The sequence below is a fragment of the Homo sapiens genome, chromosome 15, assembly GCF_000001405.40.
Source record: "Homo sapiens chromosome 15, GRCh38.p14 Primary Assembly".
NCBI lineage: Eukaryota > Metazoa > Chordata > Mammalia > Primates > Hominidae > Homo > Homo sapiens.
The window spans coordinates 72,462,837-72,478,585 of NC_000015.10; the positions used below are offsets into that span (position 1 = coordinate 72,462,837).

Below are 15,749 nucleotides of genomic sequence, written 5' to 3' on the forward strand. Positions count from 1 at the left end.
ATGGTCTCGATATCCTGACCTCGTGATCCGCCCACCTTGGCCTCCCAAAGTGCTGGGATTACAGGCGTGAGCCACCATGCTTGGCCAGCTCAGGCCACATTTTCCCTAGGAAGGCCTCCATGACACGCTTGTGTGCCTTCTACACTGAGTTAGATACATATATTCTTGCTTCCCTAACATTCAGATCATACTTCTACTATAGTACTTATAATTAATGGTTTACATGTCTGCTTCTCTTACTAGCCTGAGAACTTCTTGAGAGCTGAAATGGTTTTATTTATTTATCTTTTCAGACAGAGTCTCGTTCTGTTGTCCAGGCTGGAGTGCAATGGCGGGATCTCGGCTCACTGCAACCTCCGCCTCCTGGGTTCAAGTGATTCTCCTGCCTCAGCATCCTGAGCAGCTGGTTTACAGGCGCATGCCAGCACACCTGGCTAATTTTTTTTTTTTTTTTTGCATTTTTAATAGAGACAGGATTTCACCGTCTGGCCAGGCTGGTCTCAAACTCCCAACCTCAGGCGATCCGCTCGCCTCGGCCTCCCAATGTGCTGGAATTACAGACAGGCGTGAGCCACCGCGCCTGGCCTATTTATCTTCTTAACCTCAACATCTAGCACAGTGCCTGACATGTTAGTGAACAACTGACTTGTTGAATTAACTAATAAAAATACAGGCATACAAGAAGAGCACAGTAGCATTTTCAGCAATTTGACAAATGAATATTGCTTTGTTTTCTTCAAAGGGCCACTACTTTAAAATTGAATAATCATCTTTGTATATAGTCAGACCTAAAACAAAGCTCTGTACACTTCCTGTGTCAAATAATAATAATGTAAGTCCTTTACACTAACTCATTTCATCATTGCAATCCAATGAGGAAAACCTTATTATTTTTCCTTTTTTTTTCCTCAGATGAGGAAACAGGCTTGTAAGAGGTAAACTAATTTGCCTAAGGTCACATATTTAATAAGTAGGGTTTCTAGCTCTGGCATGTATGGTGCTAACTACCACACTATTGTGCCTCTCAAAGTCAGCTGAGTAAGAATACTCACTGTTGCACAATATCTCATCCCTCTGTCTGACCCTCTCCACCTGCAATCTCCCATATACACTCACTTAGGAGAAACAAAGGCTCACGGCTCATACATGCAGCTTGTGATTTAGAAAAAAAATGTGCCCACATATGCTCGGCTTTGCTTAATGTAAACAAATATACTAATCAATATGGTATAAACCTCCAGGACTATTCTGTTTTAATAACATGTAGATACAATGTAATGATTTTAATTACTTTATTGTCCTGTCAAATTCTTTAAAATGGGAACTTGAGGCCGGGTGCGGTGGCTCACGCCTGTAATTCCAGCACTTTGGGAGGACAAGGTGGGCGGATCACCTGAGGTCGGGAGTTTGAGACCAGCCTGACCAACATGGAGAAACCCCATCTCTACTAAAAATACAAAATTAGCTAGACATAGTGGCGCATGCCTGTAATCCCAGCTACTCAGGAGGCTGAGGCAGGAGAATTGCTTCAACCCGGGAAGCAGAGGTTGTGGTGAGCTGAGATCGCGCCATTGCCCTCCAGCCTGGACAACAGCGAAACTGAAACTTCACCTCAAAATAACAAAAAAAAAAGGAACTTGGTATGCTGCTCCAGCAATTTAAATGTGTCAATCCACGTATCCAATGTTAAATTATCTTTTCCAGAAAGCAAAATGTGAAGCGGCTTATAAAGACTTCTTGTCAAGTATCACAAGCTCTCCATTATTACTTTACTAAAGATGTCTGTGATGCCACTTTGCAAAATAACTGTAGGGAGTGGCATTTGGTTCCTGGGGTGGAAGAGGTGACTATGCCTACTAAATCATGGTATTGTCTCAAATGAAACCAAAAGAACCAAAAAACCAAGAGAGAAAACAAAAAGACAAAAAAAGAAAGCTTTTTCATTTCTGAAAACTTTGGGGCTGTGTGGTCCTATCAGGTGCTGCTATTTCTGGGTTTACTATTACTACAATCTTCAAGTCCTAAAGATTTTTGCTTCCTGTTGCAGTCCTTTATTCATTCATAACCAAGCTGCATTGTACCATTTGTATCCAATTTAGCTGGATTCCAACATCAATCCTATCTTGCCATGAAGTATTAAAGGCTGAGTTACCACTGGGGATGTGGGAGGTAAAATGAGCATTTGCCCTAGAGAAATCCTAGATAAGGAGTGCCACGGAGAACATGCATATCAGACCCCCTCTTCCTTCTGCTCCACACAACCTTCAAGTTTTCATGAACACCTAGAAGAATTAACAGGCAAGAACACCAGTGTTGATTTAATGTTGGCAAGATTCAACATATTTTGAGGTAAGAATACAATACTACATGTCTATTATTTTCAGACATTTAGGTTTATACTAATTCATAAACTTTAGGTTTATATTAATTTATTCCAGCATTAACAAAAGCTTGGAAGTTTGTTGGGAATGGGCATTACATAGATGACTACATGTTCTAGGCATCAAGCACCATATTAGAAATGATACGAAAAAAATAGTAGTTTTGAAGCACATGAATTAGTTTGTGGGAAAGAGTAGGTGGAAAGGAGATCAGGCAGAGGCAACAGCAGTTACAAAGGCAGGACGCATAAGAAAGTCTAGCAATTATGCTTTTGTAGAATATGCCAGTCTAGTGACTTCTATCTTTTTTTCCCTAGCTAGGATTTGAACCTATCTTTTTTTATAACTTTTTTTTTTTTTTTTGAGATCGGGACTTGCTATGTTGCTCAGGCTAGTCTTGAACACCTTGGTTCAAGCAACCCTCCTGTCACAGCCTCTCAAGTAACTGGGATTACAGGCACATGGCACCATGACCAAGAACTCCTTTAGCACTACCATTTGTGCCAGTCTTCTTGGCTTGTGACATCTCTTCAACTGTGCACTTATCATTTTTTAAATTAACCTTTTAATTTATCTCCTTCCCTAAATTATAATCTCTCTTTGTTTCTCCAGAATGCCAAGAAAGGTGCTTTGCATTGAGTAGACACTAATAAGTAACTATTGATTGCCTGACCAAAAAAATCATGGCTTATGTACTGTAAGTCTTCATTAAGAATGCTAAGATTAAGTCAGGTGCAGTGGCTCACGCCTGTAGTCCCAACACTTTGGGAGGCCAAGGTGGATCACCTCAGGTCAAGAGTTTGAGAGCAGCCTGGCCAACATGGTGAAACCCTGTGTCTACTAAAAATACATAAAATTAGTCGGGCGTGGTGGTGGGTGCCTGTAATCCCAACTACTTGAGAGGCTGAGGCAAGAGAATTGCTTGAACCTGAGAAGTGGAGGTTGCAATGAGCCGAGATTGCGCAATTGCGCTCCAGCCTGGGCGACAGGGCGAGCCTCTGTCTCAAACAACAACAACAACAACAAAAAAAAGAATGCTAAGATTATATTTATAAGAATAAAGTAGAACGTTGTGAACAGAAGATAACACGTCTATTCGCTACGCTACTTTTATTACCTATTTCCAGGAGGAACAAATACTACATACAGTCAATGTTTATGGCTGTCAATCTAGAAAGCAGTAGGATTGACAGCAATTACTCCCTTATAAAAATACAAAGACAAATTTTAGAATAAGAATAAGATCTTATTATAATCACTGAGAATTAATATGGAAAAAAACTGGACTTGAACTCTGAAAACTTGGATCTGAATCAAGGTTCTGCCACTTGTTGTGTACTTTGGTAAATTACTTCCACCTTTGAGCTTTTTTCTCATCTATAAAATGAAGTTAAGACTTCCAACTTCACAGGATCATAAAGAAGAAATTAAAAATGCATATGCAGCCGGGGGCGGTGGCTCACACCTGTAATCCCAGCACTTTGGGAGGCCGAGGCGGGTGGATCACGAGGTCAGGAGATCAAGACCATACTAAACATACAAAAGGTCACGAGGTCAGGAGATCGAGACCATACTAAACATACAAAAAATTAGCCGGGTGTGGTGGCGGGTGCCTGTAGTTCCAGCTACTCGGGAGGCTGAGGCAGGAGAATGGTGTGAACCTGGGAGGCGGAGCTTGCAGTAAGCCAAGATCCGCCACTGCACTCCAGCCTGGGCGACAGAGCAAGTCTCAAAAAAAAAAAAAAAAAAAATGCATATGCATCTAGTGTGGCATCTAGTATAGACTCAATAATATATTTGCTCACTTTTTGCCCATTCATCCATTTAAATACATCCATAAAGCAACAAAATAAACTAGAGATATTGTGAACTACAGAGAAATGTTTGTTTTGCAAACTTTAGCTACAAAAATACTTTTCCTTCAAGTCCTTAAGTCATTACGATAAATATACGTTCACTTTTTGGAAGGTCATCATATGTTACTTTTTGTTGTAGTGTAAGCACACATTTAAGGCCAAATAAATGTATATTGCAATCATGGGGCACATAGACACTATGGTTTTGTACATTTGTCCAATTGTATGATAGTATATACTCTAGTTTCAGCATTATCTTTTTTTTTTCTTTTTTGAGATGGAGTCTTGCTCTGTCGCCCAGGCTGGAGTGCAGTGGCATGATCTCGGCTCACTGCAACCTCTGCCTCCTGGGTTCAAGCAATTCTCCTGCCTCAGCCTCCCGAGTAGCTGGGATTACAGGTGTCTACCACCACGCCCGACTAATTTTTTGGTATTTTTAGTAGAGACGGGGTTTCACCATTTTGGCCAGGCTGGTTTCAAACTCCTGACCTCAAGTGGTCTGCCCGCTTTGGCCACCCAAAGTGCTAGGATTACAGGCATGAGCCACTGTGCCTGCCCTCTAGTTCCAGCATTATCTTATCACACATTAGATAATTACTTGTATAAAAGCTCAGGCTCAATAATAAAGTCTATAGACCCTGTACAATAGGCCCCTTTGTATCTGCAGTTTCCACATCCACAGATTCAACCAACCATGGAGTGAAAATATTAAAAAAAAAAAAAAACATAAAAAGTAAGAATACGGCAATTAAAAAAATCAAATGTAACAATACAATATAACCACCATTTACAAAGCATTTACATTGCACTAGGGGTTACAAGTAATCTAGAGATGATTTAAAGTGCTTGAGAGGATGTACGTAGGTTATATGCAAATAGCATGCCATTTTATATAAGGAACTTGAGCAACCATGGATTTTCTTATCTGTTGGGGTACTGGAACCAATCTCCTGCAGATATCAAGGGACAACTGTATTTCTAGAATAAAGGTGAGGTAGCGAATATCTTTTATTTTTATTATTATTTTTTGAAACAGGGCCTTGCTCTGTCACCCAGGCTGGAGTACAGTGGCATGATCATAGCTCACTGCAGCCTCAAATTCCTGGAGGATCAATGGATCCTCCTACCTTAGCCTCCTGAGTAGCTGGGAGTACATGCATGCACCACCATGCTTGGCTCATTTTTTCTTTTTTTTTTTTTTGAGATAGGGTCTTGCTATGTTGCCCAGGTTGGCCTTGAACTCCTACGCTCAAGTGATTCTCCCATCTTGGCCTCCCATAGTGCTAGGATTACAGGCATGAGCCACTGCACTCAGCCCTCGCTAATTTGCTTATTTTTTATTCTTTTGTAGAGGCAGGGTGTCACTATGTTGCCCAAGCTGGTCTAAAACTCCTAGCCTCACGTAATTGTCCCACCTTGGTCTTCCAAAGTGCTGGGATTACAGGCATGAGTCACTGTACCAGGATGGGGAGATCGTAAAGAAATGGCTGCAGTTAAGAATCTTGGGTTCTACTTTTGGTTGTCACTATCTCTACCAGACGTCTAATGTGGCAGGTAACTTCAGTTTCTCTATACCTTATTATTATTATTAACACTTAGAACTGGTGTGATATGATCTCTCAATAATGCTGTAATACTTCATTGGTATCTATAGCAAAATTTGAAATACATAGATGTTTTTACAGAAATGCAAAGTACTCAGCTTATCAGTGTCTCTTTTTGTGCTTTGATAAAAATTTAATTTCTTTACCTCCTTCCTGGTAAAACACAGGAACACCTAAAACATTAAAAAACAAAAAACAGGCCAGGTGTGGTGGCTCACGCCTGTAATCTCAGCACTTTGGGAGGCTGAGGCGGGCGGATCACAAGGTCAGGAGATTTAGACCATCCTGGCTACATGGTGAAACTCTGTCTCTACTAAAAATACAAAAAATTAGCTGGGCGTGGTGGCACGCACCTGTAGTCCCAGCTACTTGGGAGGCTGAAGCAGGAGAATCACTTGAACCCAGGAGGTGGAGGTTGCAGTGAGCCGAGATTGCACCACTGCACTCCAGTCTGGGCGACAGAGCGAGACTCCGTCTCAAAACGAACAAACAAACGAAACAATAGAAAAACAGGCCAGGCGCAGTGGCTCACGCCTGTAATCCCAGCACTTCGGGAGGCCAAGGCAAGTGGATCACTTGAGGTCAGGAGTTCGAGAACAGCCTGGCCAACATGGTGAAACCCCATCTCTACTAAGAATACAAAAAATTGGCCGGGCGTAGTGGCGCATGCCTGTAATCCCAGCTATGCGGAAGGCTCAGACAGAAGAATCACTTGAACTGGGAGGCAGAGGTTGCAGTGGGCCGAGATCATGCCAGTGCACTCCAGCTTGGGCAATAGAGTGAGACTTTGTTTCCACCCCCCCCCCACCAAAAAAAGACAAAACAAAACAAACAAAAACAAAAAGTGCTGCATTAAAACTGATTTTATAAACAAAATGACAAAAAGCAATTTCTTCTCACTTGATTTTAGAGACAATTGCTTACATATAAGAATTTTTGGTCAGATGCCCTGTAGGGTGACCAAACCATCCCAGCTTGCCTGGGACTTCCCAGTTTGGGTACTGAAAACTCCATGTCCCAGGAAACCCCTGTCCTGAGCCAACTGGAACAGTTGGTACAGTTGGCTTTTCCATAGCTTACACTTCTATTATCTGCCCTTAGAAAAATTCCAGTGCTACTGTAATTTATATTTATCTGAAAAGCACCTGCATAGTCTTCCTGTTGGTATTCAGTACATAATCATTTGGTTAGCATATAAATATTTATGGAATTTTGTCCCATGAGTAGATATTTTATAAATGTATACGAATATTTTTTTACCTTACTAGGACTTGGGGACAATGGGAGTGCCAAATTACCAACAATGATTATCTCGGCACCAAAAAGGTATTAATTTGTGTATTTTCTTTTTCAAGAACCTTTTCCTGTTGTTGTTTAGAGACTACTGTGCTTCTAGCTAGTAATCACCATCGCTGGGAAAACAATAACACAGGCAATACCTTTAAGAACAAGTCATTAAAAAACAATACAAAATAATGTATGTGGGTCATCCCTTGGCCAATGTGGGGCCAGAGAGAAGTTGTTCTACTGGTTTTCCTTAAATAGCACCATAACCTAACCTGAATCTAAGATGGTTTCCAAAATATGTATAGAACGAATGTTAACTAATTAATTCTATAAAAATATGTATAGAATGAAAGCTAATTAACCATCAAACCATGGTTATAATGGTTTATCCATGGATAGGAGACCCAGAAATTCAGAAGCACTGTAATACTTTTCATGATATTAATAAAAAATGAAGTCATGAGATCATGGAAAAGGTTTCTGAGAAAAAAATCAGACCAATTTTCTTCCCTAGAAAATGGGGATGACACAGGCTGTGTACATATAAGCATAATTAAAATAAAACTGATTAGGCTGGGTGTGGTGGCTCACGACTATAATCCCAGCACTTTGGGTGGCCGAGGTGGGAGGATCATGAGGTCAGGAGGTCGAGACCAGCCTGCCAACATGGTAAAACCCGTCTCTACTAAAAATACAAAAATTAGCCAGGCATGGTGGTGCGTGCCTGTAGTCCCAGCTACTCAGGAGGTTGAGGTAGGAGAATTGCCTGAACCCGGGAGGCAGAGGTTGCAGTGAGCCGAAATTGCTCCACTGTGCTCCAGCCTGGGCGACAGAGTGAGACTCCGTCTCAAAACAAACAAACAAACAAATAAACAAAACTGATTAAAAGATTATAAAGGTGACTTATGACACTTTTTAAAAGCTCTGATTTTGTGAGTACTTAGCTATGTGCCAGGTACTGTGTCAAATGCTTTAAATACATAATTTCATTTGATACTCACAAATAATCCTATGAGAACAGGAATTATGATCCTCCAAAGTAAACCTCTAAAAGAGAGGCTTAGTAATTTGCTTAAGGTTACAGACAGCAACGGGGCAGGGGGGTGCATAGGCAAATTCAGATCCATCTGCTTCAATAACTTTTATCCTCTTCACCTTTATCCTATGCCGCTTCTAAACATTGCTGGTGTAAACTCTGGTAAAATTGTATCTCCAGCTCTAATTTTTCCTGACCTTCAGTCTTGTATCTTAGTTTATGGAACTGCCTACTCAACACCTCTACCCTGATGTCTAACGAGCACCTCAAATAACATGTTTCAGTGAGTGATGCCACCATTCACCCAGTCGCTCAAGCTCCAAATACAGTAGGCATCCTTGTTTCCTCCATCAAACCCACTGTCAAGCCACCAGCAAATATTTTGGCTCTTCTTTCAAATTCTATCTCAATCTGACCACTTCTTATCACCTCCACTGCCACAACCCTAGTTCAGGCTATTATCTACTTACCTGGACTACTGAGATAGCCTCATAATTGCTTTGTTTTCGTAGTCCATTCACCATAAAGCAGTCAGTTATCTTTTTAAAAACACAGATCATATAGTTTCACTCTTCTGCTTAAAACTCGTTAATAATTGCCACTGGAATAATGTAAACTTCTTAAGATGACCTACAAGGCCCCTACTGGCCCCCTACCTTGATCTGCTTTCTCTGACTTTATCCCTTAACACCCTCTTCTTTGCTCAGCATGTCTCAAGTCACATTGGTCCTGATATTTTCAAATTCCTCTGTGACTAAAAGTCACATGTTTTGAGAAGATGTGAAAGGGCAGGGCTGAAGTTTGAGGAAACTGCAAAGGTGTGAAAGAGTTGTCGAGAGTGGGAGAACAATCCAGAAAAATTTAATAGGATTGCTGGGAATTATTGAAGGTTGAGTTGTGCTTGGTGATTGAAATTAAGTAGGCTGGGTGTAGTGGCTCACACCTGTAATCCTAGCATTTTGGGAGGCCAAGGTGGGAGGATTGCTTGAGGCCAGGAGTTCCAGACCAGTCTGAGCAACATAGTGAGATGTATCTGTAAAAAAAAATAAAAAATTAGCCAGGTATGGTGGTGTGCACCTGTAGTACCAGCAACTCAGGAGGCTGAAGTGGGAGGATCACTTGAGCCCGGGACATTGAGCCTTCAGTGGTGATCGCACCACTGCATTCCAGCCTGGGTGCCAGAGCAAGAGTGTCTCCAAAAAAAAAAAAAAAAAGAAGAAATGTAGTAATAGAATACAGATGGCTATGCACATTTCTCTAATAGTGGTCAGCTGCTCCATTTATCAAAGTGGAGACTATGGATGGTAGGGTTCATTCAAGATAGGGGTACAATGAAAAGAAAGGTGAGGCAAAGGAGTTTAGGGTACTGACGAGTGTTACTGAATTTTTCTGTAGGTAATATCACAATGGAGACGGGGTGGACAGAAGTGTTCCTTGTGTCCATGGCTTGCCTTAGTTGTGGCAGCAATCTAGAATTGCTAAATAGAAACACTGAATCAAAGAACCTAGACCTGGCTGGGCGCTGTGGCTTATGCCTGTTATCACAGCACTTTGGGAGGCCGAGGCAGGTGGATCACCTGAAGTCAGGAATTCGAGACCAGCCTGGCCAATATGGTGAAACCCCATCTCTACTAAAAATACAAAAATTAGCCTGGGGTGGTGGCATGCGCCTGTAGTCCCAGCTACTCAGGAGGCTGAGACAGGAGAATCGCTTGAACCTGGGAGGCAGAGGCTGCAGTGAGCTGAGATCACCACTGTACTCCAATCTGGGCAACAGAGCGAGACTCCGTCTCAAGAAAAAAACAAACAACAACAACAACAACAAAAACCTAGACTACCAGTATTGAGGTTAAATGCTTTACTTTGTAAATCCTGAGGTTAAGAAATATAATTATCGGTATTTTAAAACTTACAAAATGGACAAATTGGAAGAGGCTTTTTAACATTATAATGGAATTTTTCACTTTTCAAAATCAATTTCCAAAGGGAACCTATAGGTTGAACAGTAAGATTTATCAACAAATCAGGGGTTTTGATTTTAAAAGGTTTTCAATCTGGCCAATTCTTCAGATTATCTCAAGAGGGAGCCTTCTTATGCCTCTTCTTCCTTCATAACACTTCTCTGGCTCGCATGTCCTGTTTGCAAAGATTTAAGCCCACTCTTAGGCATAAAATGCTCTTAACTGACATGACCCCTGACTAACTTGCCTAATATTTTGCCATGTACCCTCCATGCACTTTAAGCTCCCCAAACTATTACTTACTTGACACCTTCTGCGCTTTTGCTTGTTCTCTGCGGCTAGACCATCTTCCCTACCTTCTCTGTTGAACTCCTAGCCATTCATCAACACTCAGCTCACATAGCACACTTTCAGATGAGATTCAAGCATTATCTCTCTGGCTACATTTGGCCCTTGTAGATATTTCTATTATTGCCTGTATTTTGTTGAAGCATTCATGTCTTTTATGTACTACATAGTACATAATATATCTACATTACAAAGCATTTTTATGATTCATGTTTTGGGGCATCCAGCGGTTAAAATAGGGCAAGGGTTATGTGGTCTTGGCCAGGTCCCTTTTCCTTTCTGAGCTTCAGGTTCCTCAGGTATAAAATGGGTACTATGGCTCCGTGAAGATGAGACAGAATATATGTAAAGCCCTTACACAGTGCTCAATTCATGAAAATCATCGCTGTTTACATTGTTTAGGGCCCTCAAGAGGCGCTCTTGTCAGCGGGGTGGAGGAAATGCCTCTTTAAAATGACGTCATTATAGGAGACTTAAAAACCACTGCACGTCTGTACAAGTGGACAGAATCACACAGCTACCTAAAGTGGGTTCACCTGTCATACAGTTTAGAGGTTCCACTTACAACAGGTTTCCATCAGTAGCCAAAGCAACAGAAATTTTAGCTTAACGGCTGAGGGCTTCCGGGATTACCGCAGGGCGGGCGGGAAGCGCCTTTCCGCTCCGGAGGGAAGGCCGCGTCCCCAAGGGACTGCCTAAGTGGGCTGGATCCCTATGGCCTGCGGCAGACACCACCACGTAGGCGGTCCAGGGGTCCCTCTCTCGGTGACTGGTGACCAGGAGGCCGCAATCTCTTCACATAAAAGGTCTACGGGTTTCCGCTCGGCCCTCACAGCGGCAGCGGATCGAACCAGGAAAGCAATTCCCGCTCGGCTCCCCTCGGGTCCCAGGCCCAGGAAGGCCGGGCCGTGGGGTCTCCCCGGGCTCCACGCAGGGGCGGTGGGGCGGGGCGCAGTGACGCAAAGAGGAGTGACGCGACGACGCAGCGCGACGCGGTGACGCACGCCCCTTTGTTGGCTCAGTAGCGATAGCAGCGGCCGTGGAGGTGGCGTTGGGGACTGTTTTCTCTCGGAGGCCGGAGCGGAGCCGCGTCTGACTGAGGCGGGCAGCAAGCGGCCCCCTCGCTCCCTCCCTCCCTCCTCCGCGCCCTCCCCGCCGCCACCAGCCGTCAAACGCCAACCGCCGCTCCTGGGGAGGAGCCGCGGCTCGCGGGGCCGGAGCCAGGCCTGCGTCCGGACATCAGCCGGAGCCGGAGCGAGAGCCGGGGCCTCGGCGTCCCCGCCCTCTCCCCGCCTCGGCCAGCGTCCGCCGGGCCCCCGCGCGTCGCGCCATGGACTCGGACGAGGGCTACAACTACGAGTTCGACGAGGACGAGGAGTGCAGTGAGGAGGACAGCGGCGCCGAGGAGGAGGAGGACGAAGACGACGACGAGCCGGACGATGATACCCTGGATCTGGGCGAGGTGGAGCTGGTGGAGCCCGGGCTGGGCGTCGGCGGGGAGCGGGACGGACTGCTGTGCGGGGAGACGGGCGGTGGCGGCGGCAGCGCTCTGGGGCCCGGCGGTGGCGGCGGCGGCGGCGGCGGCGGTGGTGGTGGCGGGCCGGGGCATGAGCAGGAGGAGGATTACCGCTACGAGGTGCTCACGGCCGAGCAGATTCTACAACACATGGTGGAATGTATCCGGGAGGTCAACGAGGTCATCCAGGTGAGGGTGGCCGCCGCGCCAGCTGGACCGGGCCCGACGGGGGAGCGGATTCAGGCGGCACGCGCGGTCCCGAGGGACAGGCCTGGGCCTGGTGCGCAGCCTAGCCCGGTGCCTCCCGGCCTTGTCTTCTCCGCTGCCTCTGCTGGGGATAGAGGGTGTCGAAAGCAGAGGTTCGCCGATTAGCCGGGTGTGGGGAGGTGCGCTGGGGGCGGTGCTTCCCAAGTCCTGCTATGGCGGAGGCCTTCGGTCGCCTAAGCCTTCTCTTGCGGGCAATTTCTGCCAGTCCCTGGGCCGGGTGTCCTTTCTCTGGCCGGGCGATCGCCTACTGGGGCGGGGCGGAGGAGGTGGGGTGGAGAAGAGGAGTCAGGAAGAATTGGGCCCTGACGGGACTTACCCCGGCCGTAGCCTCATTTGAGCACTTTTGGAAGGGATTAGAGTAGGCCTAAGAGCAGCTTGGTGTACAGTTGCCCCAAGTGGGCACCAGTTAATAAAGAAATGGATCTTGGCAGTCTCAAGTGCCTACTTAAAGGTGGGGGAAGGGAAGTATTTCTCGGAAGAGGTGCTGATGGGCCTTCTTTTCAGATGGTGAGGCTTCTGCTTACATCTTTTTTATGTCTTTGCTGTTTGGGACCTAATTGCTACTTTTTCTAGTCGTAGCAGATGACTTGCTTGAAGCTGTTGGAATAGTTACTGCATATTGCATACCCTTCCTTGTAGCTAAAACAACAACAAAACGCAGTGTTGTCTAATATTGGACAAGACTCTATTGTGAGTTAGAAAGCAGAGGTTTTCTGCTTGTGAACTCCTTTCTCTGATATTTTCTATTTTGTGGTAAGTTAGGCTTGGTGTAAGTTGATAACCACATCTCATTTAACCATGTGCGTCAGATTTTGCATTTTTGAGCTTTAGAAACTCAAAAGTTTTCATTTGGGGAAAAAAAAAACCTCAGTTCTCCTGAGGAGTCAGGGATATGGCTGAAGAATAAAAATGAAGCTTGATTCAGTGCAATTTTTAGAAAACCTGGAAGGAAACATATATGAGCAGCAAGTTACTATTGCCTCTTTTATCAGTATTATTTCTTTTTTGTTTAACTTAAATTGGTTGGCTAAATATTCATTGACAAATTAGAAGTATGTCACTGTCAACTCGTTGACTTTCTATTATTAACTGATTTTTATAGTATTATAAGTAACAGTTTTAAAAATTGAAGCATCTATTCAGGCACTGTTTCAATACAGTGTTTTGCATAATAGAAAAATCTCTGATATCTAGTGCCATTACTAAATAGTGGAAGTCTTCATTTTTAATCTAGAGAACACAGTCTAAGAAGGAAGTTGAGGATTGTAGAAGATAATTTTTTGTTTGTTTGAGACGGAGTCTTGCTTTGTCGCCCAGGCTGGAGTGCAATGGCGCAATCTCTGCTCACTGCAACCTCCGCCTGCCGGGTTCATGCAATTCTCCTGCCTCGGCCTCCCAAGTAGCTGGTACTACAGGCGCGCTCCACCATGCTCAGCTAATTTTTTGTATTTTTAGTAGAGACGGGTTTCACCATGCTGGCCAGGCTGGTTTCGAACTCCTGACCTTGTGATCCGCCTGCCTCGGCCTCCCAAAGCGCTGGATTACAGGCGTCAGCCACCGTGCCCGGCCTGTAGAAGATGCACATGTAAGAAAAATCTGATTAGGTAAGAAAAAATAAAAAGACAAAACAAGCCTGCCACCCAGAGACGTACAACAAAATGCGAACTGTAGTTATTTTTCTAGACCTTTGGATAGCCATTAATATGGTTCCACGTTAATAACAGTGGAACCATACTGTATGTTCTGTTTGTGTTTTCAGTGGAAAAACATTACAGAAATACTCTGAACAACCTTCTGTCAAGTAAATTTTTCGAGAACTTATATGATTATAGATCTGAACTAATTTATTTAATCAATCTGTTATTTGCCTTCCTTTTTATTTTCTAGTTTCTGGCTTTTATAAATATTGAAAATATCCTCATAGGTCAGTCTTTGAGTGTTCTTATTTTCTTGGGATAAAGTGAATTGCTGAGTCAAAAGAATTTGCTCATTTTCAATGCATTTGATACATACTACCACATTGCTTTCAGAAAAGTTATGCTAGTTTTCCCAACCAGTGTTTGATGGGCAAAAAAAACCTGGTGAGATTGAATTTATGTTTATTGGGCTTGGTATTTCTTTTTTAAATTGCCCCTCGCTTTTTGCTCATTTTATTCTCTTTTGCCCATTGCCCCTCTTTGGGATATTTATCTCTTACTGGTTTGTAAGACTTCTTTCTATTAATAGAGGTTGGAAATAGCAGTTATCTAGGTTTTTAATGTTGGTTTGATAAACACTGAATTTTACTTAGTTTGCATTAGAGAGCTTACTGTTAACTCTTAAACATTTAAATTCCCTGTTCTCAGTTCTAATTTTCAGTGTGAAATCAGGTAAGATACATTTGCAGGTGAAAAAGTTTGAAATGTAAAAAGATAACCAAATTAATTTAATATTTCCTTGGGAATTTGATTACTTTTTCTGGGAGAGGAGTTCTGGGCAACAACATAAATACTGTTATTTGTGGATATTTGCAGGTTAGGTTTGGTCTTCAAATAAGTCAACATTATTTTCTTTCAGAAAACTTGGTTTTCTGGCTTTCTATAATTTCCCAATTAACATTTAAATAAAAGACCAAATTAAACAATTAAACTTTATTTAATTTGGTCTTTTGTTTAAATGCTTTGTGGCTACCTAGCTTACCTTTTCAGCTTTTAAGGAAAAAAAAAATCAGAGTTTTTTATTTTGTTTTGTTTGGAGACAGCCTCACTCTGTCACCCAGGCTGTAGTGCAGTCGCGTGATCTCAGCTTACTGCAACCTCTCCCTCCCAGGTTCAAGAGATTCCCCTTGCCTCAGCTTCCCCCCCTACCCCAGTATCTGGGATTACAGGCACCTGCCACCAGGCCCAGCTAATTCTTGTGTTACAGGGTTTCCCCATGTTCATCATGCTGGTACTGAACTCCTGGCCTCAAGTGATCTGCCCTTCTCGGCCTCCCAAAGTGCTGGGATTACAGGTGTGAGCCACCATGCCTGGCCAGGGTGTTTTTTGTTATTTGTTTATTTTGAGACAGAGTTTCATTCTGCTGCCCAGGTTGGAGTGCAGTGGCGTGATCTCAGCTCACTGCAACCTCCGCCTCTTGGGTTCAAGCAATTCTCCTGCCTGAGCCTCCCGAGTAGCTGGGATTACAGGTGTGCACCACCACACCCAGCTACTTTTTGTATTTTTTAGTAGAGAGGGGGTTTCACCATGTTGGCCAGGCTGGTCTTGAACTCCTGAACCCAGGTGATCCACACAGCTGGGCCTCCCAAAGTGCTGGGATTACAGTCTTGAGCCACCGCGCCCAGCCTAAAAAGTAGTTTTCTAATGTAACTATATAAGTAGCTAGGTAATTTATTAAAAGAACCCTGTTCAATTCTGCAGTTGGGAGTATTTAAACTTGCCATTTTGTTTTTCCACAACAGTGTTCAGCAAATGTTGATTGTGCTTTCTAAGTATGCCAGGCATTATGTTAAGCA

General features: G+C 43.7%; 1 protein-coding gene and 1 long non-coding RNA gene across 2 annotated transcripts in view, besides 6 other annotated features; one reads left to right on the forward strand and one right to left on the reverse strand.

Moving 5' to 3' along the window:
- The window catches only part of TMEM202-AS1 (TMEM202 antisense RNA 1), a 66,461-nt gene extending 55,058 nt beyond the window's left edge, over window positions 1-11,403 (reverse strand). The window contains exon 1 of the long non-coding RNA NR_135678.1: window positions 11,039-11,403. This is a non-coding gene — a long non-coding RNA (TMEM202 antisense RNA 1). The remainder of the gene's footprint in view (window positions 1-11,038) is intronic.
- Window positions 10,858-10,957: an enhancer, noted in NCBI's record as "active region_9723". NCBI's record gives its function as "activates an Ori minimal core promoter by ATAC-STARR-seq in GM12878 lymphoblastoid cells {active_cell/tissue: GM12878}" and the evidence as "EXISTENCE:reporter gene assay evidence [ECO:0000049][PMID:35858748]".
- Window positions 11,198-11,537: a silencer, noted in NCBI's record as "silent region_6623". NCBI's record gives its function as "represses an Ori minimal core promoter by ATAC-STARR-seq in GM12878 lymphoblastoid cells {active_cell/tissue: GM12878}" and the evidence as "EXISTENCE:reporter gene assay evidence [ECO:0000049][PMID:35858748]".
- Window positions 11,198-11,585: a biological region, named in NCBI's record as "ReSE screen-validated silencer GRCh37_chr15:72766566-72766762".
- Window positions 11,389-11,585: a silencer, noted in NCBI's record as "fragment chr15:72766566-72766762 (GRCh37/hg19 assembly coordinates)". NCBI's record gives its function as "represses an EF-1alpha promoter that drives an FKBP-Casp9 reporter gene in an ReSE screen in K562 erythroleukemia cells {active_cell/tissue: K562}" and the evidence as "EXISTENCE:reporter gene assay evidence [ECO:0000049][PMID:32094911]".
- ARIH1 (ariadne RBR E3 ubiquitin protein ligase 1) overlaps window positions 11,494-15,749 on the forward strand; it is a 128,658-nt gene continuing 124,402 nt past the window's right edge. The window contains exon 1 of the mRNA NM_005744.5: window positions 11,494-12,178. Within this exon, the coding sequence (NP_005735.2) occupies window positions 11,804-12,178 (375 nt within the window). The 5' untranslated portion in view covers window positions 11,494-11,803. The remainder of the gene's footprint in view (window positions 12,179-15,749) is intronic.
- Window positions 11,628-11,857: a silencer, noted in NCBI's record as "silent region_6624". NCBI's record gives its function as "represses an Ori minimal core promoter by ATAC-STARR-seq in GM12878 lymphoblastoid cells {active_cell/tissue: GM12878}" and the evidence as "EXISTENCE:reporter gene assay evidence [ECO:0000049][PMID:35858748]".
- Window positions 12,408-12,617: an enhancer, noted in NCBI's record as "active region_9724". NCBI's record gives its function as "activates an Ori minimal core promoter by ATAC-STARR-seq in GM12878 lymphoblastoid cells {active_cell/tissue: GM12878}" and the evidence as "EXISTENCE:reporter gene assay evidence [ECO:0000049][PMID:35858748]".